The 24,048-nt window shown below is 62.1% G+C and overlaps 3 protein-coding genes across 24 annotated transcripts, besides 26 other annotated features; 2 read left to right on the forward strand and 1 right to left on the reverse strand.

The window, feature by feature from the left end:
* Positions 759-848: an enhancer, noted in NCBI's record as "active region_10287". NCBI's record gives its function as "activates an Ori minimal core promoter by ATAC-STARR-seq in GM12878 lymphoblastoid cells {active_cell/tissue: GM12878}" and the evidence as "EXISTENCE:reporter gene assay evidence [ECO:0000049][PMID:35858748]".
* Positions 3,037-4,034: an enhancer, noted in NCBI's record as "H3K27ac-H3K4me1 hESC enhancer chr16:3011513-3012510 (GRCh37/hg19 assembly coordinates)". NCBI's record gives its function as "activates a minimal SCP1, AML or CMV promoter by ChIP-STARR-seq in primed H9 embryonic stem cells {active_cell/tissue: H9 hESC(primed)}" and the evidence as "EXISTENCE:reporter gene assay evidence [ECO:0000049][PMID:30033119]".
* Positions 4,035-5,032: an enhancer, noted in NCBI's record as "H3K27ac-H3K4me1 hESC enhancer chr16:3012511-3013508 (GRCh37/hg19 assembly coordinates)". NCBI's record gives its function as "activates a minimal SCP1, AML or CMV promoter by ChIP-STARR-seq in primed H9 embryonic stem cells {active_cell/tissue: H9 hESC(primed)}" and the evidence as "EXISTENCE:reporter gene assay evidence [ECO:0000049][PMID:30033119]".
* Positions 4,519-4,648: an enhancer, noted in NCBI's record as "active region_10288". NCBI's record gives its function as "activates an Ori minimal core promoter by ATAC-STARR-seq in GM12878 lymphoblastoid cells {active_cell/tissue: GM12878}" and the evidence as "EXISTENCE:reporter gene assay evidence [ECO:0000049][PMID:35858748]".
* Positions 4,729-4,808: a silencer, noted in NCBI's record as "silent region_7086". NCBI's record gives its function as "represses an Ori minimal core promoter by ATAC-STARR-seq in GM12878 lymphoblastoid cells {active_cell/tissue: GM12878}" and the evidence as "EXISTENCE:reporter gene assay evidence [ECO:0000049][PMID:35858748]".
* Positions 4,839-4,968: a silencer, noted in NCBI's record as "silent region_7087". NCBI's record gives its function as "represses an Ori minimal core promoter by ATAC-STARR-seq in GM12878 lymphoblastoid cells {active_cell/tissue: GM12878}" and the evidence as "EXISTENCE:reporter gene assay evidence [ECO:0000049][PMID:35858748]".
* Positions 5,519-5,598: a silencer, noted in NCBI's record as "silent region_7088". NCBI's record gives its function as "represses an Ori minimal core promoter by ATAC-STARR-seq in GM12878 lymphoblastoid cells {active_cell/tissue: GM12878}" and the evidence as "EXISTENCE:reporter gene assay evidence [ECO:0000049][PMID:35858748]".
* KREMEN2 (kringle containing transmembrane protein 2) lies at positions 5,800-9,905 on the forward strand. Of its 4 annotated transcripts, none has more exons than NM_172229.3 (9): positions 5,800-6,139; positions 6,384-6,558; positions 7,665-7,756; positions 7,850-7,974; positions 8,167-8,320; positions 8,435-8,767; positions 8,845-8,970; positions 9,051-9,129; positions 9,335-9,905. In NM_172229.3, the coding sequence occupies exons 1-9, from the start codon at positions 6,046-6,048 to the stop codon at positions 9,543-9,545; spliced, it is 1,389 nt and encodes a 462-aa protein (NP_757384.1). In that variant the 5' UTR covers positions 5,800-6,045; the 3' UTR covers positions 9,546-9,905. The 4 variants fall into 4 exon arrangements, with proteins under 4 accessions (NP_757384.1, NP_001240655.1, NP_078783.1 ...); NM_001253726.2 differs by having other exon boundaries at positions 8,284-8,320; NM_024507.4 differs by lacking the exon at positions 9,051-9,129.
* Positions 6,129-6,378: a silencer, noted in NCBI's record as "silent region_7089". NCBI's record gives its function as "represses an Ori minimal core promoter by ATAC-STARR-seq in GM12878 lymphoblastoid cells {active_cell/tissue: GM12878}" and the evidence as "EXISTENCE:reporter gene assay evidence [ECO:0000049][PMID:35858748]".
* Positions 6,449-6,818: a silencer, noted in NCBI's record as "silent region_7090". NCBI's record gives its function as "represses an Ori minimal core promoter by ATAC-STARR-seq in GM12878 lymphoblastoid cells {active_cell/tissue: GM12878}" and the evidence as "EXISTENCE:reporter gene assay evidence [ECO:0000049][PMID:35858748]".
* Positions 6,449-7,576: a biological region, named in NCBI's record as "H3K27ac-H3K4me1 hESC enhancer GRCh37_chr16:3015093-3016052".
* Positions 6,617-7,576: an enhancer, noted in NCBI's record as "H3K27ac-H3K4me1 hESC enhancer chr16:3015093-3016052 (GRCh37/hg19 assembly coordinates)". NCBI's record gives its function as "activates a minimal SCP1, AML or CMV promoter by ChIP-STARR-seq in naive and primed H9 embryonic stem cells {active_cell/tissue: H9 hESC(naive and primed)}" and the evidence as "EXISTENCE:reporter gene assay evidence [ECO:0000049][PMID:30033119]".
* Positions 7,179-7,298: an enhancer, noted in NCBI's record as "active region_10289". NCBI's record gives its function as "activates an Ori minimal core promoter by ATAC-STARR-seq in GM12878 lymphoblastoid cells {active_cell/tissue: GM12878}" and the evidence as "EXISTENCE:reporter gene assay evidence [ECO:0000049][PMID:35858748]".
* Positions 9,855-10,844: an enhancer, noted in NCBI's record as "H3K27ac-H3K4me1 hESC enhancer chr16:3018331-3019320 (GRCh37/hg19 assembly coordinates)". NCBI's record gives its function as "activates a minimal SCP1, AML or CMV promoter by ChIP-STARR-seq in primed H9 embryonic stem cells {active_cell/tissue: H9 hESC(primed)}" and the evidence as "EXISTENCE:reporter gene assay evidence [ECO:0000049][PMID:30033119]".
* Positions 9,855-11,057: a biological region, named in NCBI's record as "H3K27ac-H3K4me1 hESC enhancer GRCh37_chr16:3018331-3019320".
* Positions 10,298-10,377: an enhancer, noted in NCBI's record as "active region_10290". NCBI's record gives its function as "activates an Ori minimal core promoter by ATAC-STARR-seq in GM12878 lymphoblastoid cells {active_cell/tissue: GM12878}" and the evidence as "EXISTENCE:reporter gene assay evidence [ECO:0000049][PMID:35858748]".
* Positions 10,638-11,057: a silencer, noted in NCBI's record as "silent region_7091". NCBI's record gives its function as "represses an Ori minimal core promoter by ATAC-STARR-seq in GM12878 lymphoblastoid cells {active_cell/tissue: GM12878}" and the evidence as "EXISTENCE:reporter gene assay evidence [ECO:0000049][PMID:35858748]".
* PAQR4 (progestin and adipoQ receptor family member 4) lies at positions 10,873-15,009 on the forward strand. Of its 6 annotated transcripts, none has more exons than NM_001324118.2 (4): positions 10,873-11,365; positions 12,682-12,903; positions 13,040-13,209; positions 13,411-15,009. In NM_001324118.2, the coding sequence occupies exons 1-4, from the start codon at positions 11,200-11,202 to the stop codon at positions 13,471-13,473; spliced, it is 621 nt and encodes a 206-aa protein (NP_001311047.1). In that variant the 5' UTR covers positions 10,873-11,199; the 3' UTR covers positions 13,474-15,009. The 6 variants fall into 6 exon arrangements, with proteins under 6 accessions (NP_001311047.1, XP_047289564.1, NP_689554.2 ...); XM_047433608.1 differs by having other exon boundaries at positions 12,799-12,903; NM_152341.5 differs by having other exon boundaries at positions 13,040-15,009.
* Positions 11,088-11,257: a silencer, noted in NCBI's record as "silent region_7092". NCBI's record gives its function as "represses an Ori minimal core promoter by ATAC-STARR-seq in GM12878 lymphoblastoid cells {active_cell/tissue: GM12878}" and the evidence as "EXISTENCE:reporter gene assay evidence [ECO:0000049][PMID:35858748]".
* Positions 11,268-11,317: a silencer, noted in NCBI's record as "silent region_7093". NCBI's record gives its function as "represses an Ori minimal core promoter by ATAC-STARR-seq in GM12878 lymphoblastoid cells {active_cell/tissue: GM12878}" and the evidence as "EXISTENCE:reporter gene assay evidence [ECO:0000049][PMID:35858748]".
* Positions 11,348-11,467: a silencer, noted in NCBI's record as "silent region_7094". NCBI's record gives its function as "represses an Ori minimal core promoter by ATAC-STARR-seq in GM12878 lymphoblastoid cells {active_cell/tissue: GM12878}" and the evidence as "EXISTENCE:reporter gene assay evidence [ECO:0000049][PMID:35858748]".
* Positions 11,738-11,877: a silencer, noted in NCBI's record as "silent region_7095". NCBI's record gives its function as "represses an Ori minimal core promoter by ATAC-STARR-seq in GM12878 lymphoblastoid cells {active_cell/tissue: GM12878}" and the evidence as "EXISTENCE:reporter gene assay evidence [ECO:0000049][PMID:35858748]".
* Positions 13,127-13,943: an enhancer, noted in NCBI's record as "H3K4me1 hESC enhancer chr16:3021603-3022419 (GRCh37/hg19 assembly coordinates)". NCBI's record gives its function as "activates a minimal SCP1, AML or CMV promoter by ChIP-STARR-seq in naive H9 embryonic stem cells {active_cell/tissue: H9 hESC(naive)}" and the evidence as "EXISTENCE:reporter gene assay evidence [ECO:0000049][PMID:30033119]".
* PKMYT1 (protein kinase, membrane associated tyrosine/threonine 1) lies at positions 14,333-21,971 on the reverse strand. 14 transcript variants are annotated; one of them, NM_001437991.1, is made up of 9 exons: positions 21,811-21,971; positions 21,333-21,437; positions 18,189-18,556; positions 16,844-17,337; positions 16,075-16,181; positions 15,770-15,942; positions 15,525-15,682; positions 14,663-14,740; positions 14,333-14,589 (listed from the first exon to the last, which is right to left on the reverse strand). In NM_001437991.1, the coding sequence occupies exons 3-9, from the start codon at positions 18,537-18,539 to the stop codon at positions 14,478-14,480; spliced, it is 1,473 nt and encodes a 490-aa protein (NP_001424920.1). In that variant the 5' UTR covers positions 18,540-18,556; positions 21,333-21,437; positions 21,811-21,971; the 3' UTR covers positions 14,333-14,477. The 14 variants fall into 14 exon arrangements, with proteins under 14 accessions (NP_001424920.1, NP_001245379.1, NP_004194.3 ...); NM_001258450.2 differs by having other exon boundaries at positions 18,189-18,349; positions 21,173-21,437; NM_004203.5 differs by having other exon boundaries at positions 21,173-21,437.
* Positions 20,661-21,537: an enhancer, noted in NCBI's record as "H3K27ac-H3K4me1 hESC enhancer chr16:3029137-3030013 (GRCh37/hg19 assembly coordinates)". NCBI's record gives its function as "activates a minimal SCP1, AML or CMV promoter by ChIP-STARR-seq in primed H9 embryonic stem cells {active_cell/tissue: H9 hESC(primed)}" and the evidence as "EXISTENCE:reporter gene assay evidence [ECO:0000049][PMID:30033119]".
* Positions 21,538-22,413: an enhancer, noted in NCBI's record as "H3K27ac-H3K4me1 hESC enhancer chr16:3030014-3030889 (GRCh37/hg19 assembly coordinates)". NCBI's record gives its function as "activates a minimal SCP1, AML or CMV promoter by ChIP-STARR-seq in naive H9 embryonic stem cells {active_cell/tissue: H9 hESC(naive)}" and the evidence as "EXISTENCE:reporter gene assay evidence [ECO:0000049][PMID:30033119]".
* Positions 21,705-21,934: a silencer, noted in NCBI's record as "silent region_7096". NCBI's record gives its function as "represses an Ori minimal core promoter by ATAC-STARR-seq in GM12878 lymphoblastoid cells {active_cell/tissue: GM12878}" and the evidence as "EXISTENCE:reporter gene assay evidence [ECO:0000049][PMID:35858748]".
* Positions 21,945-22,304: a silencer, noted in NCBI's record as "silent region_7097". NCBI's record gives its function as "represses an Ori minimal core promoter by ATAC-STARR-seq in GM12878 lymphoblastoid cells {active_cell/tissue: GM12878}" and the evidence as "EXISTENCE:reporter gene assay evidence [ECO:0000049][PMID:35858748]".
* Positions 22,414-23,290: an enhancer, noted in NCBI's record as "H3K27ac-H3K4me1 hESC enhancer chr16:3030890-3031766 (GRCh37/hg19 assembly coordinates)". NCBI's record gives its function as "activates a minimal SCP1, AML or CMV promoter by ChIP-STARR-seq in naive H9 embryonic stem cells {active_cell/tissue: H9 hESC(naive)}" and the evidence as "EXISTENCE:reporter gene assay evidence [ECO:0000049][PMID:30033119]".

Here is a 24,048-nt window from a genome sequence, read left to right on the forward strand (position 1 = left end):
CTGGCCAATATGGTAAAACCCTATCTCTACTAAAAATACAGAAAAGTAGCCGGGCGTGGTGGTAGACGCCTGTAATTCCAGCTACTCAGGAGACTGAGGCAGGAGAATCTCTTGAACCCAAGAGGTAGAGGTTGCAGTGAGCGAAGATCACGCCATTGCACTCCAGACTGGCCAACAAGAGCGAAATTCCGTCTCAAAAATAAATAAATAAGCTGGCCGGGCGCGGTGGCTCACACCTGTAATCCCAGCACTTTGGGAGGCCGAGGCAGGTGGATCACAAGGTCAGGAGTTCAAGACCAGCCTGGCCAAGATGGTGAAACCCTGTCCCTACTAAATATACAAAAATTAGCCGGGTGTGGTGGCACATGTCTGTAATCCCAGCTACTCGGGAGGCTGAGGCTGAGGCAGAGAAGTGTTTGAACCTGGGAGGCGGAGGTCGCAGTGAGCCGAGATCATGCCACTGCATTCCAGCCTGGGCGACAGAGCGATTCTACATCTCAAAAAAAAAAAAAAAAAAAATTAGCTGAATGTGGCAGCACGCCCCTGTGGTCCTGGCTACTTGGAAGGCTGAGGTGAGAGAATTGCTTGAGGCCAGGAGACTGAGGCTGCAGTGAGCCATGATCACACCACTGCATTCCAGCCTGGGCGACAGAGCAAGACCCTATCTCAAAATAAAAAAAAAAGAAAAGAAATAAAAGGTGACAGGGCAGGGGTGGAATTTGGACACAGAGCTGCACACATGAAGAACACCGTGTGAAGATGAAGGCAGTGAGAGTGAGGCTTCCACAACCAAGGAAGGCAACACAGAAGAAAAGAGTGGGATGGGCAAGGGAGGAGGGACTGGGCCAGGTGCCGTACCCGGCAAGCCCGCGGTCTTGGTGACTTAACCCACAGATGTTTGTTTTTCAGTCATTCAGAGATTTGTGCCGAGACTTCCGGTTGGCAGGCACCTTCCACCAGGTCACTCGGGGATCCAGCTCCCTCCACCCTCCCCAAGGTATCCCCTCCGCTCAGTTGGTGAATGGAGAAGAGAGAAGCTGAGGCTGTGGCAGGCCAGACCTGGCAGGGACTTTCCAGGGATCCTGTGAAAGTGTTCTAGCCCGATATGGTGTGGCTCACACCTGTCATCCTAGCACTTTGGGAGGCCAAGGTGGTGGATCACTCGAGCTCAGGAGTTCCAGACCATCCTGGGCAACATCGGTAGACTCTGTCTCTATTTATTTGTTTGTTTATTTTTATTTTTGTTTTTTTGACATGGAGTTTCAGTCGTCACCCAGGGTAGAATGCAATGGTGCCATCTCGGCTCACTGCAACCTCTGCCTGCCGGGTTCAAAAGATTCTCCTGCCTCAGCCTCCCGAGTAGCTGGGATTACAGGCATGCACCACCATACCCAGCTGTTTGTATTTTTAGTAGAGACGGGGTTTCACCATGTTGGCCAGGCTGGTCTCAAACTCCTGACCTCATGATCTGCCCACCTCGGCCTCCCAAAGTGCTGGGATTACAGGTGTGAGCCACTGCACCCAACCAAGAATGAACCAACCAACCAACCTACCTACCTACCTACCTACCTTCCTTCCTTCCTTCCTTCCTTCCTTCCTTCCTTCCATCTTTGAGACGGAGTTTCGCTCTTGTTGCCCAGGCTGGAGTGCAGTGGCACGATCTCGGCTCACCGCAACCTCTGCCTCCTGGGTTCAAGCGATTCTCATGCCTCAGCCTCTTAAGTAGCTGGGATTACAGGCATGAGCCCCCACGTCCGGCTAATTTTGTATTTTCAGTAGAGATGCGGTTTCTCCATGTTGGTCAGGCTGGTCTTGAACTCCCAACCTTAGGTGATCCGCCTGCCTCAGCCTCCCAAAGTGCTGGGATTACGGGCGTGAGCCGCCGTGCCCGGCCCAAGAGCCACATTTCTAACAAGCTCCCCGGTAATAATGGCGCTGGTCCAGGCTCCGAACTTTGAGTACTGAGAGATGCCACTCCTGCTATTCCCCCGCTAGCCACACCTCATGTAGGGGAAGTGGGGAAATGAGTCTAGTGTTTGTGCAGGAGCTGGAGGAACTGGGATCAGTAAACACAGGTAGGGAGTGCAGCTAGGAAGCAGGCAGGAGGAACACAGCTGTCCCAGGAAGGGGGACAGGACAAAGTATCATTGCTGCTGAGGATGGGTGAGGTCACAACTGGGACTTGCAGCCCCTCAGCAGGGGCCTCTTTCTGAACCCCTGGGAAGGCCCCGAAAGATCCCCCAGGGCTGCTCTCAGGGTCTCAGAGGGGCCCACGAACCCCTACCCCACCCATTCCTCATCCAGCTGTCACCCAGGAGAGGTGGTCCACTGACCCACCGCCCTCCTGAAGACAGAGTGTGGAGGTGAGGCCTGGCCTGGTTCATCTCTCCCAGGGCCTCCCCAGCGGCCTCCAGGGGGACCCCCTGCCCACAGATTTCTGGGGCTTCCTTTTGCCTTGGTGGCCCTGATGTGCCTCTGCCATGAGGAGTGGGCCCCAGGTGGAACACTGTCACCACCAGAGAGATGAGAAAAAGGAAGGAAGGGCCGGGCAAGGTGGCTCACGCTTGTAATCCCAGCACTATGGGAGTCCGAGGGAGGCAGATCACCTGAGGTCAGGAGTTCCAGAACAACCTGGCCAACATGGCAAAACCCCATCTCAAGATTGCAGTGAGCCGAGATGGCGCCAATGCACGCCAGCCGGGGCGACAAGACAGCGACTCTGTCTAAAAAAAGAAAAAAAAAAAAGTCTCTACTAAAAATTCAAAAATTAGCCAGGCGTGGCGGCGCCCACCTGTAATCCTAGCACTTTCGTAGGCCGAGTGGGGGGGCAGATCACCTGAGGTCATGAGTTCGAGACCAGCCTGGCCAACATGGCAAAACCCCGTCTCTACTAAAAATACCAAAATTAACCAGGTGTGGTGGCACCCACCTGCAATCCCAGCTATTCGGGAGGCTAAGGCAGGAGAATCGCTTGAACCCAGGAAGCAGAGGTTGCAGTGAGCCAAGATCGCGCCACTGCGTTCCAGCCTGGGTGACAGAGCAAGACTCCGTCTCAAAAAAAAAAAAAAAAAAAGCAAGAAGACCAAGGGCAGCTGAGCAGCCCCAGGTGGAACCCAGGCGTCCTGACTGCACCGGGTCTGGCCCTGACCCAGAGCTCCCGGCAGGAAAGGGCTGGGCTCAAACACGGCCACCCTGCACCGCCTTAAGAAGGGCAGGGCTGAGCCTGCTCCTCCCCTTCCTGGGGGGCTGACTGGGGCAAAGTGGCCTGGTCCCTCCTCTTGCCCAGGTCCCCCAACTTCTCACCTTCTCCCTACTTGGGCAGGGCAAATCCTGTGTTCCATGTCCCATAGGAGAGAAATGCCAGGCTGGCCCCTGGGTTGCTTCTGCACCTACCTCTTTGGCTCCTTTCTCTCTGCCGCCCCCATGTGGCCAATCTGCACCTGTGCATCTGCTTCCCTCAGAGATGACATGCCAAGCCTGTCAGGCCCTAGGGACCCCAGGCCGACCCCTGCCCCAGTCTGGCCTCAGTCTCCCTGTCTGTGAAATGGGCTGCTGGAGATCCTGCTTCCAAAGTGTCAGCTGGCGGCAACGACATTCGAGGGGTGAGGAGCCCCTCAGAGCATGTGAGAGAGTATCTCTGTGTGCCCAGAGGTCCCTGAAGAATCAGAGACCCTGGAAGCGACATGGAGGCATGAATCAGCGCCCAGCCCCTGGATCAGACCAGGCGGAGCTTGAAGCCCAGTTCCAACGCTTAATAGCTGGTGACGCCCACGAGTCACCCAGTTACCACCTCTGCGCCCCATCTGCAGAATGGGGAGATGAGCCTGTCCCCTCTCGCAGGGCGTCAGGAGGGCAGACATGCCGCTGCTTGCAGAGCCCTGAGTGCCAAATGCTGGGGAAGTGGTGGGGGGTGGGCTTCTTAGTTCTGGAAGTTTCCGTGAGTGACCTGAGACTGAAGTTTGCCGCAGGGATACTCCACCCCACTCCATCTCAGTGCCCCAGCCTCAGCACTGAGCACCCACTTCCTCTCACCCCCTGCCCCCTCTGGAGGAGACAGGCCTGGGCCAACCGAACCGGGTGTCACAGTGCCAGGGACAGAGGGACGGTTCTTTCAGACCCTACTCTCTCAAGGGAAGGGGCTGATTCCTCCACCAGCGTCCCAAGCCGGCCCCCTTTCCGCACAGAGTCCTTAATTGTCCCTGTCGCCACCTTGCCCCATCCTCAGATGGCTGTGGCTGTGGGGGTGAAGCTCCCCACGCACCGCCATTGTGCAGGCCTGCCCCTAGGACATCCTCTGTGGACTGGAGCCCGGGAGGACTTCACTGAGCCCCCGCCAAGAGAAACCGGGCAGACAGGTGGTCCCGGATGCTCCCTCGTCGGGAAGCGCAGTTGGGTTCCAGGGAGCCCGTGGGTGCTGGAGGCCCCAGCTCAGGGCTCAGTGAGCCGGGCCAGCCTGGCCTCTGAGAGGGCTCCCGGAGGAGGCGACCAGGACCCTGGCCTAGAGTCTCAGCAAGTCCATCTCCTTCAAATGCCCCCACCTCGGCTCCACGCCCCTCCTCCAGAGCACACTCGCGTGAGGCGCCAGCTGGAAGATCCTCGCGGGTCCCAGCACCGCAGTGGGTGCCTGGGCCTGACAGAACCTCCCTGAACCCCATCTTTCTTCTCCATCGACACCGGGGCAGAGACGGTGTGGGGGCTGCAGGGCGGGGACTGGTCGGCCTGGGCTCGACAGCTTGGCGAGGGCCTGGTGCGGGCTGGGCAGGCTGGACTGAGGGGCAAAGAGGTCTGGGCGGGGCGGGGCCGCTCTGGGCGCCCGGCCCCCACCAGTTCCTTCCCCCGGCCCCCGCCTCCGCCCTCCCACGCACCTGCGCTGGCCTCCCCCCAAGCCCTGGGGGCAGCGGGCGGGTGGCGCTGGGAGATCAGAGGACTCGGAGGAGTCGGGCCCAGGGGGAGGGGGCGGGGAATTTCCCCCCACGCCTGCCTGGGCCTGCTCCCCTCCCCCTCCCCCGCCAGGTGGGGGGCACGGCTGGGGGAATTCCACTGCAGTGTGAAGGCTCGGGAGAGTCTGGGCTGGGGGTCCCAGGGAAGGGCGGGGCAGGGGGAGGAGGAGGGGACAGACTGGGACCTGGGGCGCAGCTGCCTTTCTCCCCAGACACCAGCTGCCCCTGCCTGTCCCGGACTGAGCGTCCACGACTCCCGCCTGTCTCGTGGGCGCGGGGGCAGGGAGTGGAGCTTCCTCCGTCAGGCCAGCGGCATCTGGACCAGGGGCGGGAGGGGCGTGCGGATCCGAAGAAAGTGTGCGCGTGAGCGCCTGGCAATGAATGGGAGAGAGTGCGAGCGCGTGCGTGCACTGGGAGGAGGGCGCTTGTAACTCGGACATTCCGGGTGTCCTGGGGCGCGTGCGACCACGTGAGGGGGTTCTGTATCTCCCATTTTAAGGGCCTTCCGTCCGCTTGCCCCGCCTGTCCCCCTCCACACCTTCCCACTTGAACCGGCACCGACCTGAGGGAGAGGGGGCCGGGAAGCGCTGGACGCCCGGGGTCGGGGGAACGGGCGTGGGAGGCGTCTGGACCTGCTGCCTCCGCTCCAGTGCTGGGCGGGGCTTCCCGGCCTCCCATGGGGGGAGGGAGAGACCCAGGGGGAGGGACCCACGGAGGGATGCGAGGCGGGCAGGAGTCAGCCCGTTGGAGACCTGGGCGAGGGAGACGCCGAGAGCTAGGCTCAGTGGGAGGGGGCGGGCGTAGAGGCTGAGGCACCGCCCAGAGCTCGCTGAGACAGAGACTGAGAACGCCCCCGGCCAGATTCCCCCCGGAGAGACCCGGGTAGGGACAGGGACAGAGAGACGCCTCTAGGGGCAGAGGCCCTGGGAGGCAAAGACCCCCAGGAGAGATTTACCCACCCCAGACGGAAAGCGCGGCTCAGAGTCGGACGAGGGGAGACTGTCAGAGGACAACGCCCCCTAGGTCTCCTGGGAGACCCCGAAGCGACCCCGGGGGCAGCCCGGGCCGTGTCCGGGCGAGGGTGACCTATCCTTGGTTGAGAGCGATGGGGACACAAGCCCTGCAGGGCTTCCTCTTTCTCCTCTTCCTCCCGCTGCTGCAGCCGCGTGGGGCCTCGGCTGGGAGCCTGCACAGTCCAGGTAAGTCCCCGCACGGCTGTCGGGCCGTGTTCACCACCCCTTCCTCGGCCTCCGCCCCCAGGGCCAGGCCCCCAAGGCTAGGGAGGGGGACAGAGCAGGTGGCCGGAGCAGCTGAGCAGCCCGAGGGCTCCTGCAGGGGCGGGTGCGGGGTCGCTGGCTGGGGACCCAGGCGGGAGGTGGCGTAGGGGCGCGAGGATGCCCGGCGTGGGTCCGGACCTCCCCAGGCCCTGCCTTTGCCGTGCAGGCCTGTCCGAATGCTTCCAGGTGAATGGGGCTGACTACCGCGGCCACCAGAACCGCACTGGCCCGCGCGGGGCGGGCCGCCCGTGCCTCTTCTGGGACCAGACGCAGCAACACAGCTACAGCAGCGCCAGCGACCCCCACGGCCGCTGGGGGCTGGGCGCGCACAACTTCTGCCGGTGAGGGGCGGGGCCTGCGCTGGGGGCGAGGCTGGGCTCACCATTGCAGGGATGGCCCGAAGCGGGGCCTCCGTGCGGGCGGGGTGGAGGTCTGCCGTGGACTGGCAGCCCAGCCTCCTGGAGAACCTGGGGGCGGGGCCAGAATGAGGGGCGGGGCGGGGCGGGGCGGGGCGCGCGGAACCCTGGCGCAAAAGGGATCCTCCTCAGGTGAACAATTTCTGCAGAGCTCCAGTTCAGGGCCAGGAGAGAAACGGACCTGGGCACTCAAAGGACCCGTATGGGCGGGGCCTGGTCAGAGCGGGGGCCGAATGGGCGGGGCCTTGTCAGAGTGGGGCTCTTGTCATACAACTTATTTTGGGGTTCAGAGCCACAGCTACGGTCTGAGGCAGGATGGACCCAGCGGGAGGAGAGCCGCAAAGCTCAGGAGCTCACTTCTGCTTTTAAGTGGGGTTGGAGGCCAGGCGCGGTGGCTCAGCCTGTAATCCCAGCACTTTGGGAGGCCAAGGCAGGCGGATCATCTGAGGTCAGGAGTTCGAGACCAGCCTGGCTACCATGGTGAAACCCCATTTCTACTAAAAATACAAAAAATTAGCGGGGCATGGTGGCGGGCGCCTGTAATCCCAGCTACTCAGGAGGCTGAGGCAGGAGAATCGCTTGAACCCGGGAGGCGGAGCTTGCAGTGAGCAGAGATCGCGCCAATGCACTCTAGCCTGGGTGACAGAGCGAGACTCGTCTCAAAAAAAAAAAAAAAAAGTGGGGTTTGAGGGACGGAAGTGGCTGAGGCCCATGCCGGGTGGGGGTGAAGAATACAGATGGCCTCAAAGTCCTCATATATGGAGTCAAGTCTAGCAACAGCTGAAGCCTAAAAACAGCTCTCAAGTCCCCTTTAATGACTTCCCGCTGTCCACTCGGAAGTCGACGTCCAGTTCCTTCATCAGGCAGAGTTCTGCGTAGACAAAACTGGAATTTGTGGGTGTACAGCAGGCAGCACAGCCGCTCACAGGCACAGAGCCTTGAAGGCCACTTTGAGCATAGGCTGCGGGGCCGGGCCTGGGTTTGCTATTCTTGGGGTGGTGGGAGCCCCACCACCTCCCTCCCACCCGCAGTAACCCAGACGGTGACGTGCAGCCGTGGTGCTACGTGGCTGAGACAGAGGAGGGCATCTACTGGCGCTACTGCGACATCCCCTCCTGTCACAGTGAGTAGCGCGGCTGGACAGAGGTGGGAACGCTGCTGCATCTGGGAGGAGGGTTGTTTTCGGAGTCACGGAAGTCTGACTCTGCCCCCTCAGTGCCAGGCTACCTGGGATGCTTTGTGGACTCAGGGGCACCCCCAGCCCTCAGCGGCCCCAGCGGCACCTCCACGAAGCTCACGGTCCAGGTGTGCCTACGCTTCTGCCGCATGAAGGGGTACCAGGTACTGCTCACGGGCCCAGACCAGTGACCCCTGACCTGGACCTAAAGACCACACTCAACTCCCAACACTCGGTTGCCAAACCCAGACACCGGTTTCTGAACCTCCAGCCCGATTCCCACCCCGACCCCAGGCCCCCACCACTTCACCCCTACCCCAGCCCCTGCCCTGGGGTCACCCAGTCTGTGCTCCCAGCTGGCGGGCGTGGAGGCCGGTTACGCCTGCTTCTGTGGCTCTGAAAGCGACCTGGCCCGGGGACGCCTGGCCCCCGCCACCGACTGTGACCAGATCTGTTTCGGCCACCCTGGACAGCTGTGTGGCGGCGATGGGCGGCTGGGCGTCTATGAAGGTGAGGAGTGGGCGGGGACCAGGGGCCTGGGCGGGCCTCGAGGTGGGGCCTGGCCGGGCAGGGGAGCCGCCGTGTCCTGGTCCTCAGGATGCTGACTGCCGGCCCCGCCCGCAGTGTCGGTGGGCTCCTGCCAGGGGAACTGGACAGCGCCTCAGGGCGTCATCTACTCCCCGGACTTCCCGGACGAGTACGGGCCGGACCGGAACTGCAGCTGGGCCCTGGGCCCGCCAGGCGCCGCGCTGGAGCTCACCTTCCGCCTCTTCGAGCTGGCCGACCCGCGCGACCGGCTGGAGCTGCGCGACGCGGCTTCGGGCAGCCTGCTCCGCGCCTTCGATGGCGCCCGCCCACCGCCGTCCGGGCCGCTGCGCCTGGGCACTGCCGCGCTGCTGCTCACCTTCCGAAGCGACGCGCGCGGCCACGCGCAAGGCTTCGCGCTCACCTACCGCGGTGAGCCTCAGCTCGGCGCGCCCTGCCCGCTGTTCCCACCCCGCTCTCCCCACCCCGCCTCACGCCCCTCTCCGCAGGGCTGCAGGACGCCGCTGAGGACCCAGAGGCCCCCGAGGGCTCGGCCCAGACCCCCGCGGCGCCCCTCGACGGGGCCAACGTGAGCTGCAGCCCCAGGCCTGGGGCTCCGCCGGCCGCGATTGGGGGTGAGGCGGGCGCGCGGGACGGGAGTGAGTCAGGGAGCCGCCCCCTCGCGCCCATCCTCACCGCAGCCGTGTGCCCGCAGCCCGGGTCTTCTCGACGGTGACGGCTGTCTCGGTGCTGCTGCTGCTGCTCCTGGGGCTGCTGCGTCCGCTGCGCCGACGGTGCGGGGCGCTGGGGCAGGGCCTGAGGGCGGACCGGTGGTGGGGAGCTGGAGCCCCAGAAGGGAACAGAGCTAGGAAGGAACTCCTGGGTTCTTAAGGGAGCGAGGCTTTGGGTCCACGCACAGGATCGCGCGCGGGATCGCAGGTAGAGCAGGACGCTGCAGCGGGATTGGACCGGCTCGGCTGATGTCTGCTCCCTCTCTAGGAGCTGTCTGCTGGCTCCGGGAAAAGGGCCCCCGGCGCTGGGGGCTTCCAGGGGCCCCAGGAGAAGCTGGGCTGTGTGGTACCAACAGCCCCGAGGGGTGGCCTTGCCCTGCTCCCCCGGGGACCCCCAGGCTGAGGGTTCTGCCGCGGGCTACCGGCCTCTGAGTGCCTCCAGCCAGAGCTCCCTGCGCTCGCTCATCTCCGCTCTCTGACTCTGGGCCCCGAGGGTCCGCTGGGCCCGCCGCCGGCGAGATGGACACCTGAGATGCTGTGCTGCGCCCTGCCTCGGCCTTGCGCCTGTGTAGGGGCAGCTCGGCCTCTGGTCGCCTTGGGGAGACCAAAAGTCGGACAGGAAACATCTGGTGCTATTATCTGGGACTTGGCCTGACCGTGGGGGTCCAGATGGTCCAGGCCCTCTCCATGGACCTGTATGTGGGGGTGGTCTCTGGTTTCGGAGGTCTTTGAACCCCTCTGGGGGTGGTCCTGGACTGCCGTCCTCAGTGAGAGGTCACAGGTCAGCAAAAACAGTCAAAAAACCCCCACAGATTTTGAATAAAGGATCTACTTTGGTACGGGCCTCGAAAGTTCTTCCGTGGTGGGAGGAGCATGTTAATGACCATACAAACGCCGAGGGTTGCGTGTGTCCATGCAAATGAAGGGCGTTGCACGCAGACTTTGGTGGAGCTGCCTGGAATGCAGAGAAGGACCTAGAACACAGACAGATGGGTGGGTGGGTGGAGTCCTGTAGAAGGCGGGGGGTGGAAGGGGAGGAGGATCGTGGGCAGCGTTATGCTGAATAAGGGGTGCCTTCCCGGTCCCTGCTCAGGGTGGACGGGGCGGAGGTCGACTTTGCTCCCCTGGCCTCCAATCTGTTTCCTGTCTATCCTCGGTAGGGCCCCGCAAGGGTGCTCCTTGTGGGCGATAACTGGGAGCAAGTTGGGCCGGGCCCACGCTCCGAGAAGCCTAGCGCGAAGGATAGGGCCTCTCCCGACGGCTGCGGGCGCGTGAGGCACGCCTTCAGAGGCCTGGGTACCGTGGAGCGCCTTGCTGCACTCGGGAGTCCAGCCTGCGGAAAGATCACTTTGGAGCGGGGGCGTACCGGATGTAGGCCGGACCCGTCCGGCAGCACCTTGGACAGAGCCCCGTCTGCAGGGTAGGGCTAGGTGGCAGGACTATGCCCCCGAGGGTGGGTGCCCAAAGGTACGGAGACCTGGGTGTCACGCGGAAAGCCCGGATGCACAGTTCTGAGGGACGCGAGGTGCCAGGGTCACTCTAGCGCAGCCCGCAGGACCCAGAACGTTGGGTCGCAAGCCCACAGCCACCCCATGCAAATGAGGCTGGGAGCGCGCACACTATGCTAGGAGGCGAGGCCTGGGCGGCCTCGGGGCGGAGCCTCCCCGCCGGCCACGCCCATTGGCTCTCGCTGCGCCGACGTCAGGAGCCCGGCGCGCGAAACGCTGGCCGGCCGGCGGGAACTAGGAGCCTGGGCGGAGCCTGGCGTCCCCTCCCGCGTCCGGCCGCGCCCGTCCTCCTGGCTGCAGAGAGACTACCGGCCACCGCCGCCGCCGCCGCCGCGAGCTGTCCCTGCGGCGCGTCTGCCTTGGCGGAGCCGACCGCAGTGCGCTCAGGCGTCCGGTGCGTCCCCAGCCTCCGCCCCGGCGCGGGGGCGACGGACTCGCGCGTGCGCAGCGCCGGAGGGGCGCGGGCTGGGACCCCCTAGCCAGCGCGTGCGCCGATCGAGCGCAGGGCGATGGGTGGGCGCCGGGCGCCGGGCGCCAGGCAGTGATGGGCCTTCCCGCGCTGCGGCCCCACTGAGGAGGAGGCTCGGGGACAGCAGGAGCACGGGCTGCCCGCGCGGTGCGGACCATGGCGTTCCTGGCCGGGCCGCGCCTGCTGGACTGGGCCAGCTCGCCGCCGCACCTGCAGTTCAATAAGTTCGTGCTGACCGGGTACCGGCCCGCCAGCAGCGGCTCGGGCTGCCTGCGCAGCCTCTTCTACCTGCACAACGAACTGGGCAACATCTACACGCACGGTGAGCCGCGTCCCGCAACGCGCTTCCCACACCCCCGGCCGCCCTACCTGCGTTGGGCCGGGGGCACTGAGGCCGAGGAGGGCCCCAGCGCCCAAGTCCAGGGCTGCCCCGGCCCTGGCACCGCCAGTAGCCGCGGTGACAAAGCTGCCATTGTCCCGGGCCGCGCTGCCAGCTTCCGTTTTCCCGGCGGGTGGGGGCCGGGTCAGGAGAGGGGAGCAGAGTAGGGTCTGAGCCTGCTTAATCCCTCTGAGCCCCAGGGGTAGGGAGCATGGTGTCCGGCCTCTGTAATCCCAGCGCCCTGGGAACCCCCTCCCGCCAGCACCCAGCCGGGAGATGGTGTTGACTGCGATGAGGAGGGCCCGGGAGGAGCCTCCCAGCGCCGCCGTCCTGACGCCCCCGCCCCAAGCCGCTCTGTCTTGGGGCTCCGCCTGGTGGCGGCTCCTTCTTCCCCCAACAGGCGTCCGGCCCCTCCTCCGCGCCCCGCGGAGCTCTGCTGACACAGCCCTGCCCGTCCTTGAGCTGCCCCAGGCGGGCAAGGGGCCCTGAGCGGCCTGGCCCAGCCTGGGTGCCTTTCCCGAGCTTTTGCCAGGCCACATTCTCACAAGGGTGGGCAGCCTTCGGAGCCCCGTTTGGCCCCTGGGAGGCCAGTACTAGAGGCCGGCAGGGAGGGGTGGAGACCTCCCAGAAAGGGCTAGGCTGGAATCAAACTCCCCAGGGAGAGGTCTGGGGAGATGGGACAAGCCCCTCGAAGCCCCCTTCCCTTCATTCTGGACTTGTCTTCCCCCACCTGGCCTCACCCCTTTATAGAAGATAAAAAGGCCCAGTGCCTCCATTTGTCTGGACACTTATGGAGAGGGGAGGACTTGGGTTGGGAAGAGCAAGCCAAGTGGCCCCGGGCTGGCATCACTGCTCATGTGTCCTCTTCACAACTCAACTTGAGGTTTCGCTGCCTTAGCCTTCTCCTGTGACCTGCTTGTATGGGGAGAGCAGTGTGGGAGTGGGACGGCCTAGGCCTGTCCTCTGCCATTGCTTACCTGCTGGGCTCACCCGGGGCCGGTCACTCAGCCCCTCCAAGTCTGTTTCCTCACCTGCAAAGTGGGGATCATGGTCTCTACTTCCCAGACCATCCTGAGCCATGATAAGTAACCAGTGCCAAAAGCCTTTTGCCCAGGGCCTGTCTCTGGCCAAGGCCAGGCCGCCAACTGGATGACAGCATTACCTGGACCTGTCTTGCCCTGTCCTGTGTTGTGTCTGAACCGTGGTCCCCTTGAGGATGTGACTGAAACTATCTGGTAGATGACTGTCTCCCTCCCTAGGGCTGGCCCTGCTGGGCTTCCTGGTGCTGGTGCCAATGACCATGCCCTGGGGTCAGCTGGGCAAGGATGGCTGGCTGGGAGGCACACATTGCGTGGCCTGCCTTGCACCCCCTGCAGGCTCCGTGCTCTATCACCTCTTTATGTGCCACCAAGGGGGCAGCGCTGTGTACGCCCGGCTCCTCGCCCTGGACATGTGTGGGGTCTGCCTTGTCAACACCCTTGGTGAGTCAGGGCCCAAGGGATGGGAGCTGGAGCCACCGGCGGGAGAGGCATGGGGCACGCATACAAGCCATGGGTAGGGAAGGGCGGGTGGACCCTCACAATGACATGCCCTCTCCTGTTCTCTCCTCTTGTGCAGGGGCCCTGCCCATCATCCACTGCACCCTGGCCTGCAGGCCCTGGCTGCGCCCGGCTGCCCTGGTGGGCTACACTGTGTTGTCGGGTGTGGCCGGCTGGCGTGCTCTCACCGCCCCCTCCACCAGTGCTCGGCTCCGGGCATTTGGATGGCAGGCTGCTGCCCGCCTACTGGTATTTGGGGCCCGGGGAGTGGGTCTGGGTTCAGGGGCTCCAGGCTCCCTGCCCTGCTACCTGCGCATGGACGCACTGGCGCTGCTTGGGGGACTGGTAAATGTAGCCCGTCTGCCCGAGCGCTGGGGACCTGGCCGCTTTGACTACTGGGGCAACTCCCACCAGATCATGCACCTGCTGAGCGTGGGCTCCATCCTGCAGCTGCACGCCGGCGTCGTGCCCGACCTGCTCTGGGCTGCCCACCACGCCTGTCCCCGGGACTGAGCTGCCATGCCAGCCTGCCCACAGCAGCCTCCTAGAGTTAGCAACACCAGGTGTTCCTCCCAACTCGTCTGCAAGGGGCTGGCTCCTTGGATGCTTCCAGCTCATGAGATGTCTCAGCAGGAGCCCTGTTCACCCGTTCTTCCCTGTGGACTGACCTCTTCCACCCACGCCGTGGCGCTCCAACTTCCTTCCCTGCCTTTTCCCTCCAAGCTCCTATTTTACTGTGTCAGCTGGAAGGAAACCTTTCCCTCTTGGGACCTCTTTACCCTCTGTGACCTGTGGGGTTAGACCAGAGAGGGACTCTGGGGTCACGTCTTGCTCTGAGAGTTCAAGTCCTGCCAGGCCGCCAGCCCAGAGCCTCCTCACCCTATCCTGTTCCTCCCACCAGGCCTGTGGCCAGTCTTCCTGATCTCCATCTTTCTGCCCTGCATACCAGCCCTCCCAGCAGCCACAAGCTTGCCCGCCCTGGCTCCCTCTGCCCAGAGACTATGGAGTAAGGCATTCAGGACAAAAGGACCAAGGGGGCGTGGACCCGTCTTGTACCAGCTGGCCACAGGCACAAGGGCTGCAGCTGCTTCTTCCAGGAAACTGACACAGGGAGCTCAGCGGCCTCAGATCCTGGGACCCCTGGGCCGTGCCTGCCCTCCACCTTGAGTGCCATACTCCCAACAGCTCCAGGTACCCACCGGGGGATGTGCCTGCTCAGGAAACCTCTTTGCTCCACACAGCATGGGGCTTCAGCTGCTGGCCCAAGGCCAGGAGCGCTGGGTTCTGCAGCAGGGCTCAGCCTCAGGGGCGTTAAGACCCTGGATGACATCAATAAAGGGACAGGAAGGGCCATGTTGCCACATGAGCAAGCTTGGGTGCTCCCAAGGTTCAAATACTTTTTATTAGACACGGCCAGGCAGAGAAGACCATGGGAGTTCCCGAGGGGCCCCAGCTTTCAAGGGCGACGGGAGAGACACAGGATAAAAGGTTAAAAGTGCAGAGGCAGAGTCTGGGGCTCAGGTTGGGTCTAGGGTGTCCTCAAACAGGCTGAGGAGGTTCCGAGGCTCAAAGGAGGGGAAGGAGCCCCGAGGAGGCTCTGAGTTGATGTCACTTAGGTCCAGGGCATCCCTGGGAGGAGAGAGTAGTGACACTCAGGATCCAAAAGCTAGCCCTGCCCACCCCAGCCCCTGGACCTGCTTACCTGGGTGTGCACCTGCTCCGGGGGGTGGAGGTGCTCCCCACAGTCCGGGCCAGGACAGCCTCAGGGGAGAGTGAAGGCCTGCAGGAGGGCAGGCGAGACAAGGAGGGTGTCCAGGGCTAGGGAGTGCCGGATGAAACCAGCTCTGTCCCTGTGCAGGCTCCAGGCTCCCGCCTGACAAACAGGCAGGGAGCCACAGTCAGGGACAATAAAAACTTGGTGCACTCTGAAAGCAGCACTTGGACAGCCTTCAAAGTCCTTCCATCTGGCTGCACTCCAAGGCCCCCTCTGTCCTTTTCAGAACACATGGACTTGGAGGCAGATTTGAAATAAACTTTTAGTAAATGTAAGCCTTTCTGGAACTTCTTGTCTGCTATCAAGTGCCCCGAGGGATGAGGTGATGTGTTTGTAAGGAAGGGGCTAACGGCAGAGTCCCCAAGAGCTGTCTGCCCTGAGCGTGTGGTTTCCTAATTACAGCCTCTCACTCAAGACACCAGGCCCCAGGGACCAAGGACTTGTTCCCAGGGCAGGGCTCCCCAGACTCCAGAGGCTTTCTCTTCCCAGAGAAGGGACAATGTTTTATCCCTGGGCACTGGCAGCCTCCACTGGGGTCGGGGCTGCGCGGCCAGCCACTCCCTGGGGTGCTGGTGCCCTAAGTGTGAAGCCATGCCCTGAACGGCCAGTCCACATGCCCAGCTGCATTAAGCCTGGCCAGGCCACACACCCCCAGTCTTGGTCCCCTTCCCCAGGATGTGATGGGGGCCAGGTTTGTGGGAGTGGTCCCCATTCACCACGAATCTCCATGGAGCCCCGGTGATATCCCCCACCTTCCCCCTAGCCCCCCATACCCTGCACTTGAACCCACCCTAGGCTGTCGTCATCCCAGTTGCTGGAGAGGCTGCTGTCCAGGAGCAAACTGCAGGGTGGTGAGCCAGGCGGGGTGGCTGGCGGGCCCAGGGGCTGTAGCCAGCTGGCAGGGTGAGCCAGCCCATGCCAGAGCCAGCAGAGCAGGGCAAGCAGGGCCTGTGGGGGAGAGGAGCTCAGGATGTGGGTGGGCGGACCCCCGGGGCTGGGGAGCAGGGCAGGCAGCCGCCACTGTCGGGAGCTTACCTGCCACAGGGCCCACCCTCGGCTCAGGGCCTCCGCTGCCATGCACCACAGCACACCCCAGGCCCGCGGCTGCCTCAACACAGGCAGTGCCAGCAGGGCCTCGGCCGTGGCCCGCAGCTTGGGGTCTGGCTCCAGCATCATGACAAGGACAGAACGCAGCTCGGAAGACAGACCTGCCCATGAGGAAGGGCCACATCGGGGTCCCAGAACACCGACTGCACCCTGAGCCCAGCAGTGCCTCCATGGCCAGCCACTATCTCCCCAGGAGCCCGTGGCAGCACCCCCTCCCGCCCTCACCTACTCACCGGCAGTGAACTCAGGGGGCAGGTAGCCCTGGCGCAGCTGCTGCCAGCCCTCCCCACCGTGGGGCAGCTCCATGTTGCATGCCACTTCCAGGATGGTGAGGCCCAGACTGGCAGGGACGGGATGGGGACAGAAAGGGGCAGGGTTGGCCCTGGGACACAGACCCAGTCCAGGGCTGCCTCTTGGAGGTGGGTGGGAGAGGGCTGCTGTCTTCATCAGTCAGGGAGGGGCGGAAGCAGGGGGAAGGGACACCCCAACAGGCCTGATCATGAACCCTGGGCAGGATGGGGACATCATGGAATATGGGCTCTGTGCCCAGGGAGCCCACAAGCCACAGTGGTGAGTCCTCCCAGTGCCCTGATGGACAGGCACCACAGTTACTGCTGGCAGGTATTACTATCCTGATGATCAGGGCAGTGGTTACCAGTGTGGACCCTGGAACCCAGCACCTAGGGCCAGTCTCAGCTATGCCACTTGCTAGCAGTGGGCTCCGGCAAGGCCCTTAATCTGGCTGTAAATGGAGTGACAATTGTTTCTCCTGTGGAGCTGTGAGGAGGCAGGTTACACAAAGTGGCTCTGGAGGGTTCGAGGCTCACAGGCAGCCTGACCAGAGACGCTCTCCACTGGAGGGCAGGGATGGCGTCTCAGCCTTGTGGCTCTGAGGCCGGGTGTCCTGGGCTAGGGTGGAGCTTCCCTCCTGGGGAATGGAGCTTCCGTCCCAGGAAGGGCCTCCCACAGCCTGCCAAACACCTGGCGTGCCCCGGTCCCCACCTGAACACATCCGCTGCTGTCCCATAGGAGCCCTGCAGCAGCTCGGGGGCCATGTAGCGGGGGTCTCCCTCCTGGACCTCACCAGCTCCTGCTGTACCCAGCTCCACCAGCAGTCCGAAGTCACCCAGCTTGCAGCGGCCCCGGGGCCCCAGGAAGATGTTGGCAGGCTTGACATCAAGGTGCACCAGGCCCTGGCTGTGCAGATGGGCCAGGGCAAGCAGCGTGTCCCGCAGGTAGCCCCAGACCTGGGCCTCAGGCAGGCTGGCACCCCAGGCCTCACAGTGTTGCTGCAGGCTGGGCCCGCACAGCTCCGTCTGCAGGTACAGGATGCCGCCCTCCTCCCAGGCCTGCTCCAGCCGCACGCAGCATGGGTGCTGCCCCACCTTCTCGTGGCTGCCCACCTCGGCCAACTTGCGGGCCCGGTCCTTGGGGCCCCGGAATGGTGACATGGAACGCTTTACCGCATAGAGCCGGCCGTCCTCCTTGGAGCGCACCTGGAAGGGAGGTGGTACCCACGCACACAGTGAGGGTGAGCCACAAGTGGCACAATCACATAGGGGGACAACCTGGCAGACCCCATTAAGGGTTCACACACGGGGCACGGTGGTGTAGCTGGCATCTGTCTCAGACCCCTGCCCAGGGTAATAACAAAACCAGACAAACCTCCATCCCTCGGGCTGGGTCTGTGGAGACCCAGCGACGGAGGAGCCAGGGCCGACCTGCACTGACCCCAGGGGACCTCTTGGATGTGTCACGAGGTGGAAAAAGCAGCTGCAGAGCAACACAGGCAGCCCAGGCTGTGGTGTGAAAAGTGGGCTCCCCTGTGAGAAAGCTGACCTGGGGGCCAATGTTGTTTGTACTTTTTAACAAAATTGTCTTCATACAGGACTCATACAAGGGAAAACTCCTCTCTAAAAGAAAATATAAATGACTGGAAACTGTGTTTAAGAAAAGCAAGATGGCAGGCAGGGGGTAGCTCAAAGCCTGCCAGCCTGGGGAGGGCTGGCCAGGCACTGCACTCAGGGCCAGTGCCAGAGGCTGGGCCGACTCGCCAAGGACGCTGCACAGCTGGCGCCAGGGCCGGAGGAGATGGCACAGGGGCTGCTGCAGGGCGTGCCAGACTCTGGACAAGGGGCCAGTATGCACAGAGCAACCCCTGGAGGGGCCTGCATTGGGGATGATGGGAGCAGCCAAGTCAAATGTGGAGGGAGCCTGTGAGCCCAGCAGGGACAGGCTGTAGGGAACGGAAGGGGATCAGGCTGCCCAGGACACTGTCCTGCCAAGGGAGGTGCAGAAACACAAAGGAGGTCCCCCAGATGGGCCTAGAAGCCGTCCCCTCACTCACCTTGAAGACCTCTCCGTAGGAGCCATGGCCCAGGCGGCTGAGCCTCTGGAAGCTCTGCTGGAAGAAGGACTCTGGCCGGCTTGGGTCATACCCAGGGCTCTGCAGAGTCTCTGAGGCCTCGCCCCGGAATGACACCCGCCGGGGCTGCAGCTGGTGCCAGCCTGGGGTCCGAGGAGGGAAGAGGCGGCTGATGGGAATGCTGCCCTTGGCAGGGGGCGGAGGTGGGAGGCTCCGGCTGAGCCCCCTGGGCCTCTTGAGGGAGAATCCAGGTTCTGCGTGGCGGAAGTAGGCTGGGACTGGGATGGGGGTGCCACTCAGAGGTGGCGGGGTGCCCTCCGTGGGCATGGGCATGGCCAGTGCAGGAGGCCCTGGGGGCAGAGACAGAGGCTGAGTACAGGGCAGCATGTCCACTCTGATACCACCTGGCCCTGTGGCTCCAAAGAGGCCACAGAAGAGAGCTATGTCTATACCACACACTTATTCTACTTTAAACGGCAATGGGAGCAATAAGCACCTACCAAGAAAAGGCAGAGGACAGATTCATACTCACCTGCCCACCAGGCTGTTGTATTTTAGAGATGATAGAAACATAAGAGGAAAACCATGGGGCCCGTGTTCTTGAGGGTCTTGCAGTCGGGTTAAGAGCAAGGCAGTTTGGAGTCAGACGGGCTGCGCCTGCATCCCTGCCCTCATCACGGCCAGCTCTTTGATCCTAAACTACACAACCTCTTCCGAGACTACACGGGCCCACGATCCCTTATCTCCAATTCCAAAGTGAAAACCCGGAATCCCTCAAGTGTCTTTCTTTTTCATAACTGTCGTGCCAAAACCCAGTTAGTGGTGTCCACTTCCAGAATGGCAGTGTGTGCAGCTCCGTGGACCCCTGCCCCAGTGAAACAGCACAACTGATGACGATTATTCAAAAGCAAGCACTGAAAGCCTCTGGGCATGGTGCCCAGGGCACACAGCAAACAAAGGTTTACACAAGAAAACCTGCCAAGGCCTGGGAATAATGGCAAGCCTGTTGGCACCTGAGCCATGACACTCCTGCCCTCCCACCTCCAGCACCCCTCTCCCCCCGCCTAGCACTGGGGGCAGGTGTGGCCAAGAAGAAGGGCTCCCTCTCCCCCAGCTCCCCGTCAAGGGTTAGGGTGTTTGCCCAGGAGGGCCAGGTTCTCAGCACTTCTCAACCCTCCCAGCTCCACATGGCAGAGGCTAAATTCCAGCTGAGTGTGGCAGACAGGCCAGGGGCTCCTTTCTTCCACCTGCCCCCAAGCATAGAATAGAGGCTATATCTCAGGCCCGGCAGGCTGGGAACATGGAGCCCCAGCTCATTTGTAGGAAGGAGGCTCCACACTGGGAGAGGGCAACCAAGAAGGCCAGAGGCTCCTGCCCAACCCAGCGACCTGCTCCTAAAGCAATAGCAGCACTCAGAGAGGTGCCCCGCTGTCCTGCCCCCAGTTCCACAGCATGGCTCAGACAGAGATTTAGCCTAGGGGTAGACGTAGGTCATAAATAGAGCTCTCCCCACCCACCAACCCCCTGAAAATTGGCTTGATTTGAAACAGTGCGTAGGGAAGTTCAAGTTTAAAGGGGCTGTCAAAATCAGTGGAAGTTTTGGTGGTGCGCCATTAAGAAGAGACTGGTACCCGCATTAGGGCAACCAGCTGAACCATAGGCCAGCTAGTTTACCACAGAGAAGTGGAGAAAGAGCTAGCTAGGAAGAGCCTGCCTGCTGTCAGAACAAACCTCACTGACCTCAAAAGCCACCCTGTCAAAGGAGCTCAAAATTAATTGGATCTGGCCAGGCACAGTGGCTCATGCCTGTAATCCCAGCATTTTAGGAGGCTGAGGTGAGTAAATCACCTGAGGTGAGGAGTTCGAGTCCAGCCTGGCCAACATGGTGAAACCCCATCTCTACTAAAAATACAAAAATTAGCTGGGTGTGGTGGTGCATGCCTGTAGTCCCAGCTACTCGGGAGGCTGAGGCAGGGGAATTGCTTGAACCTGGGAGGCAGAGATTACAGTGAGCCAAGATCATGCCACTGCACTCCAGCCTGGGCAACAGAGCGAGACTCTGTCTCAAAAAAAAAAAAAAATTTAATTGGATTGGACCGTGGAACACTTTATGCCCCAAGGTATTGTTTGTTTGTTTGTTTTTGAGACAGGGTCTCACTCTGTTGCCCAGGCTGGAGTGCAGTGGTATGATCTCGGCCCACTGCAGCCTCCGACTCCCAGGTTCAAGTAATTCTCTTGCCTCAGCCTCCTGAGTAGCTGGGATTACAGGCGTGTGCCAACACACTAGAATAATTTTTATATTTTTAGTAGAGATGTGGTTTCACCATGTTGGTGAGGCTGGTGCACCAAAGTATTATAAAAAACAATAGAGCGGCTGGGTGTGGTGGCTCACGCCTGTAATCCCAGCACTTCGGGAGGCAAGGTGGGTGGATCACTTGAGGTCAAGACTTCGAGACCAGCCTGGCCTACATGGTGAAACCCCATCTCTACTAAAGATACAAATTTTTGCCGGGCGTGCTGGTGCATGCCTGTAGTCCCAGCTACTCAGAGGCTGAGGCAGGAGAAATGCTTGAACCCAGGAGGTGGAAGTTGCGGTGAGCCGAGATTGCGGCATTGCACTCCAACTGGGCGACAAGAGCAAAACTCCATCTCAAAAAAATATACATAATAGTAAATAAAAAATTAAAAAGAGCAGTCTCCAGTACCTGAGGGAGTACAGGGGTGAGGGGAGCGATGCTACCTGGGCCTGGCTGGCAGGCTGCCCTCCATCTTGTGGAGACTCTTCCTCTGACTCTAACTACCTCAGAGTCCCAGCCCAGGGTTTCTCCAAGTCAGGAGCCAGGGTGTTGGGATCCTGGAGGTCACTGGTCACAAGCACAGCCTCCAGGCCCAACCCTGGCACACTCGGGGACCTGGGCCTGTGCATCTTAACCCAGTTCTCCCACCGTCCCTGCCCTACGACTTACGTTCTAGCATGACTGGCCTGGCCCAACAGCCTCAGTGGTGGGACGGGGGAGGCAGGAGCAGGGGCTCCCACGTGAATCCAGGGTGTCCCTGAGCTAAGGCCAGGCGGGGGTGACCTCCGCAGCTTCCGGGGCCCTGGGCGATCGGGCCGTCTCGCCTCACCCTCTCACCAGGCCCGACACATCTGCTGGCCACCTTTCCCGGTAGACGGTAAGTTCCTCCCAGGCAGGGCCGCGGCTGACTTCACTCCGTGGGTGTGGGGAAGCCCTGGCGAACAGAGCAGTGGACGGGCTGTCACGAGGGAAGAGGGGCTGTTGCAGAAGAAGAGAGGCTGTCCCGGGGCAGGGGCTGTCACGGAGGAAGGACTGTCACGGGGAGGGCGGCGGCGCGGGGTTGATGGACAGCAGGCGGGGTCTCCGGGAGGGGCGAGTAGGGCGGGACCGCCGCTGGGAAGGGGCTCGAGGCAAGGGAACCAGGAATTGGGGAGGACGGGAGGCAGGGGCTCGCGGGGGCGGGCCTGAGGGGACGCGAGCGGGCCGCCGGGGAGGCCTGAGGGGCAGGGGTAACGCAGACCTGGCGAGGCGGAGGGGAGCGGCGAGGTGGCCACGCCGAGGCCCCTCACGGCGGGGTCTGGGCTCACCTGGGGCGACTGGGCGGGGCGCGGGTCCGCGAGGGCCCAGATTCCGGGTCCGCGGAGGCCACGGGACCCCTCGGGTGGCTCAGCGGGCCGGAGTCTGCCGTCGACTGTTCCGGACGCCCGGGCGGAGGACTCCCGTGAGGGGGAACGGCCCGTGAACGCGCGCGGAGCTGCTCGCGCCAAAAATTCCAAACCGGCCTCGAGGCTCCTCCCCCTCCCCAGTGCAGCCCGTCAGGGGTGCCCGGGCTCCGAGGCTCCGCCCCTCGTGCTGCGTGCGCGCCGCCGAGCCGCCCCGCCGCTCACTGCGCAGGCGCACAGGATTCTCCGCGCTGGCCCGGGGCGTGGGTGGCGGCCTGGTTCTGAGTCGCTGCGCGGGGCTTCAGCCGCCCAGTCCCTGGGACGCCCACTGCCCTCCAGGCCTCGCACCCGACACCCACCGCCCTCGCTGGGCTGGCGTAGTGTTTGGGTCCATAAAAGGGACCGCCATCCCGGTGCTCGGAGCAGGCGTAGCCCCAGGGTTACTCCGGGTAGGACCAGGAAGTCCCTACGGCCTCCTGGGTCCCGGCACCCCCCTTCTCACTCCGGCCGTGTTCTGAACCAGGGTCGCGGTGGGAGGCCAGACGCACGACCCCCAACCCCTAGCGCACGGCTTCGGGAGCCAGAAAAAGCCGCCTCTTCCAGGAAGCTCTCCAGATAGGCAGGACTCTGCTTGGCCTGACCTCGCCTGCCTGCAGCTTCCCTGCCAACAGGCCTCAGATACTTTTTTTTTTTTTTTTAGACAGGGTCTCACTGTCACCAAGGCTGGAATGCAGTGGTGCAGTCCCCAGGTTCAGGCGGTTCTCCCAACCTCAGCCTGCCGAGTATGTGAGATCACAGGCGCGCGCCACCGCACTCGGCTCATGTATTTTATTTTTAGACAGGGTCTCATTCTGTTGTCCAGGCTGGAGTGCAGTGGGGCGATCTCGACTCACTGTAACTTCCGCCTCCCCCGCTCAAGCGTTCCTCCCACCTCAGCCTCCTGAGTAGCTGGGACCACAGGCGCGCGCCACCACACCCAACTAATTTTTGCATTTTTTTGTAGAGACGGTGTTTTACCATGTTGGCCAAGCTAGTGTCGAACTTCTGACCTCAAGCGATCCGCCCGCCTCGGCCTCCCAGAAGGCTGGGATTACAGGCGTGAGCCACCGCGATTGGCCGCAGGATCATAGTTCACTGCAGCCTCGAGCAGCCACTTCCGGGGCAGCTCCTCCATTCTCTGAGTTTGAGACTTGCTCTCAGCTCAGATCCCTTCAGCGCTCTCCTGGCTGAACGACCTTGGGAATGCACTGAGCCTTTCTGAGCTTCGGATTAGTCTCCTCTCCTGGAAAAAAAAAAACAGCTGAGGACGCTGGGATGATCCCCTAAAGTGATTAGCAGGGGCCCTCGCGGAGCAAGTCGGGCTAGGGATTGTTCCTTCCCTCACCGAGGGGCTCTTTATCTGTTTAACTGGGTGGGAGGAGTACGCTTCCGGCCAACCCTCCCCCAAACGCTGGCCTTCTCACTCTCACCTCTCCTTCCGCCTTATTTTTGCTATTGCCCTGATCTCTGTCCGATGTTCTATCTTTTGTTTGTGAGTTTACTTGTTGACTACCTGCTCCTTCTAGCCCTGGCCTCCAGAACCAGTCCCCCAAACCCTCCATCCTCCCCAAGTCTCTGACAGGTCATGGACTGCAAAGCTTCCCACCCATTCAGTTCCTGCACCCTCTGTAAACGTTCTGTGCATGGAGCAGCAGTGTGGGGGAGGAGAGGCTGGGATCCTGGCTGGGGGCGGCAGCCCACCTGCCTGCACCTTTCCTTGTCCTTCGCATCTCTGGCGGCTGTGCCCCAGTGACTCAGGCAGGATCCTTGTTGATGACTCCAGACTGGCCCCCAGGAGGCCTGGGGCACACACAGGCCCCTCCCCAGCTGCCTAGGGCTACCTCTGCCAGCCCCATCTCCCCAACAGGTCCCCTTCCAACCGCCCATTTTTTAAAGTCTGATTCACAATGATAATTAAAAAAAAAAAAAAAAAAGCATGGAAACACATGCTTCCGATGTAAATTTCACTGTGTGAGGAAAGGCTGTAATATAAATATATGTAAATGGAAATAAGTAGATGGAGCAGATAAGTGCGTGGTGTGAGGGAAACTAGGGCTGCGATCCTGCCTGCCCCAGTTTCTGCGTGTGTAAAATGGGGATAAAAATAATAGTTTTCTAGACTAG

This window comes from Homo sapiens, chromosome 16 (genome assembly GCF_000001405.40).
Source record: "Homo sapiens chromosome 16, GRCh38.p14 Primary Assembly".
NCBI classification, from domain to species: Eukaryota; Metazoa; Chordata; class Mammalia; order Primates; family Hominidae; genus Homo; species Homo sapiens.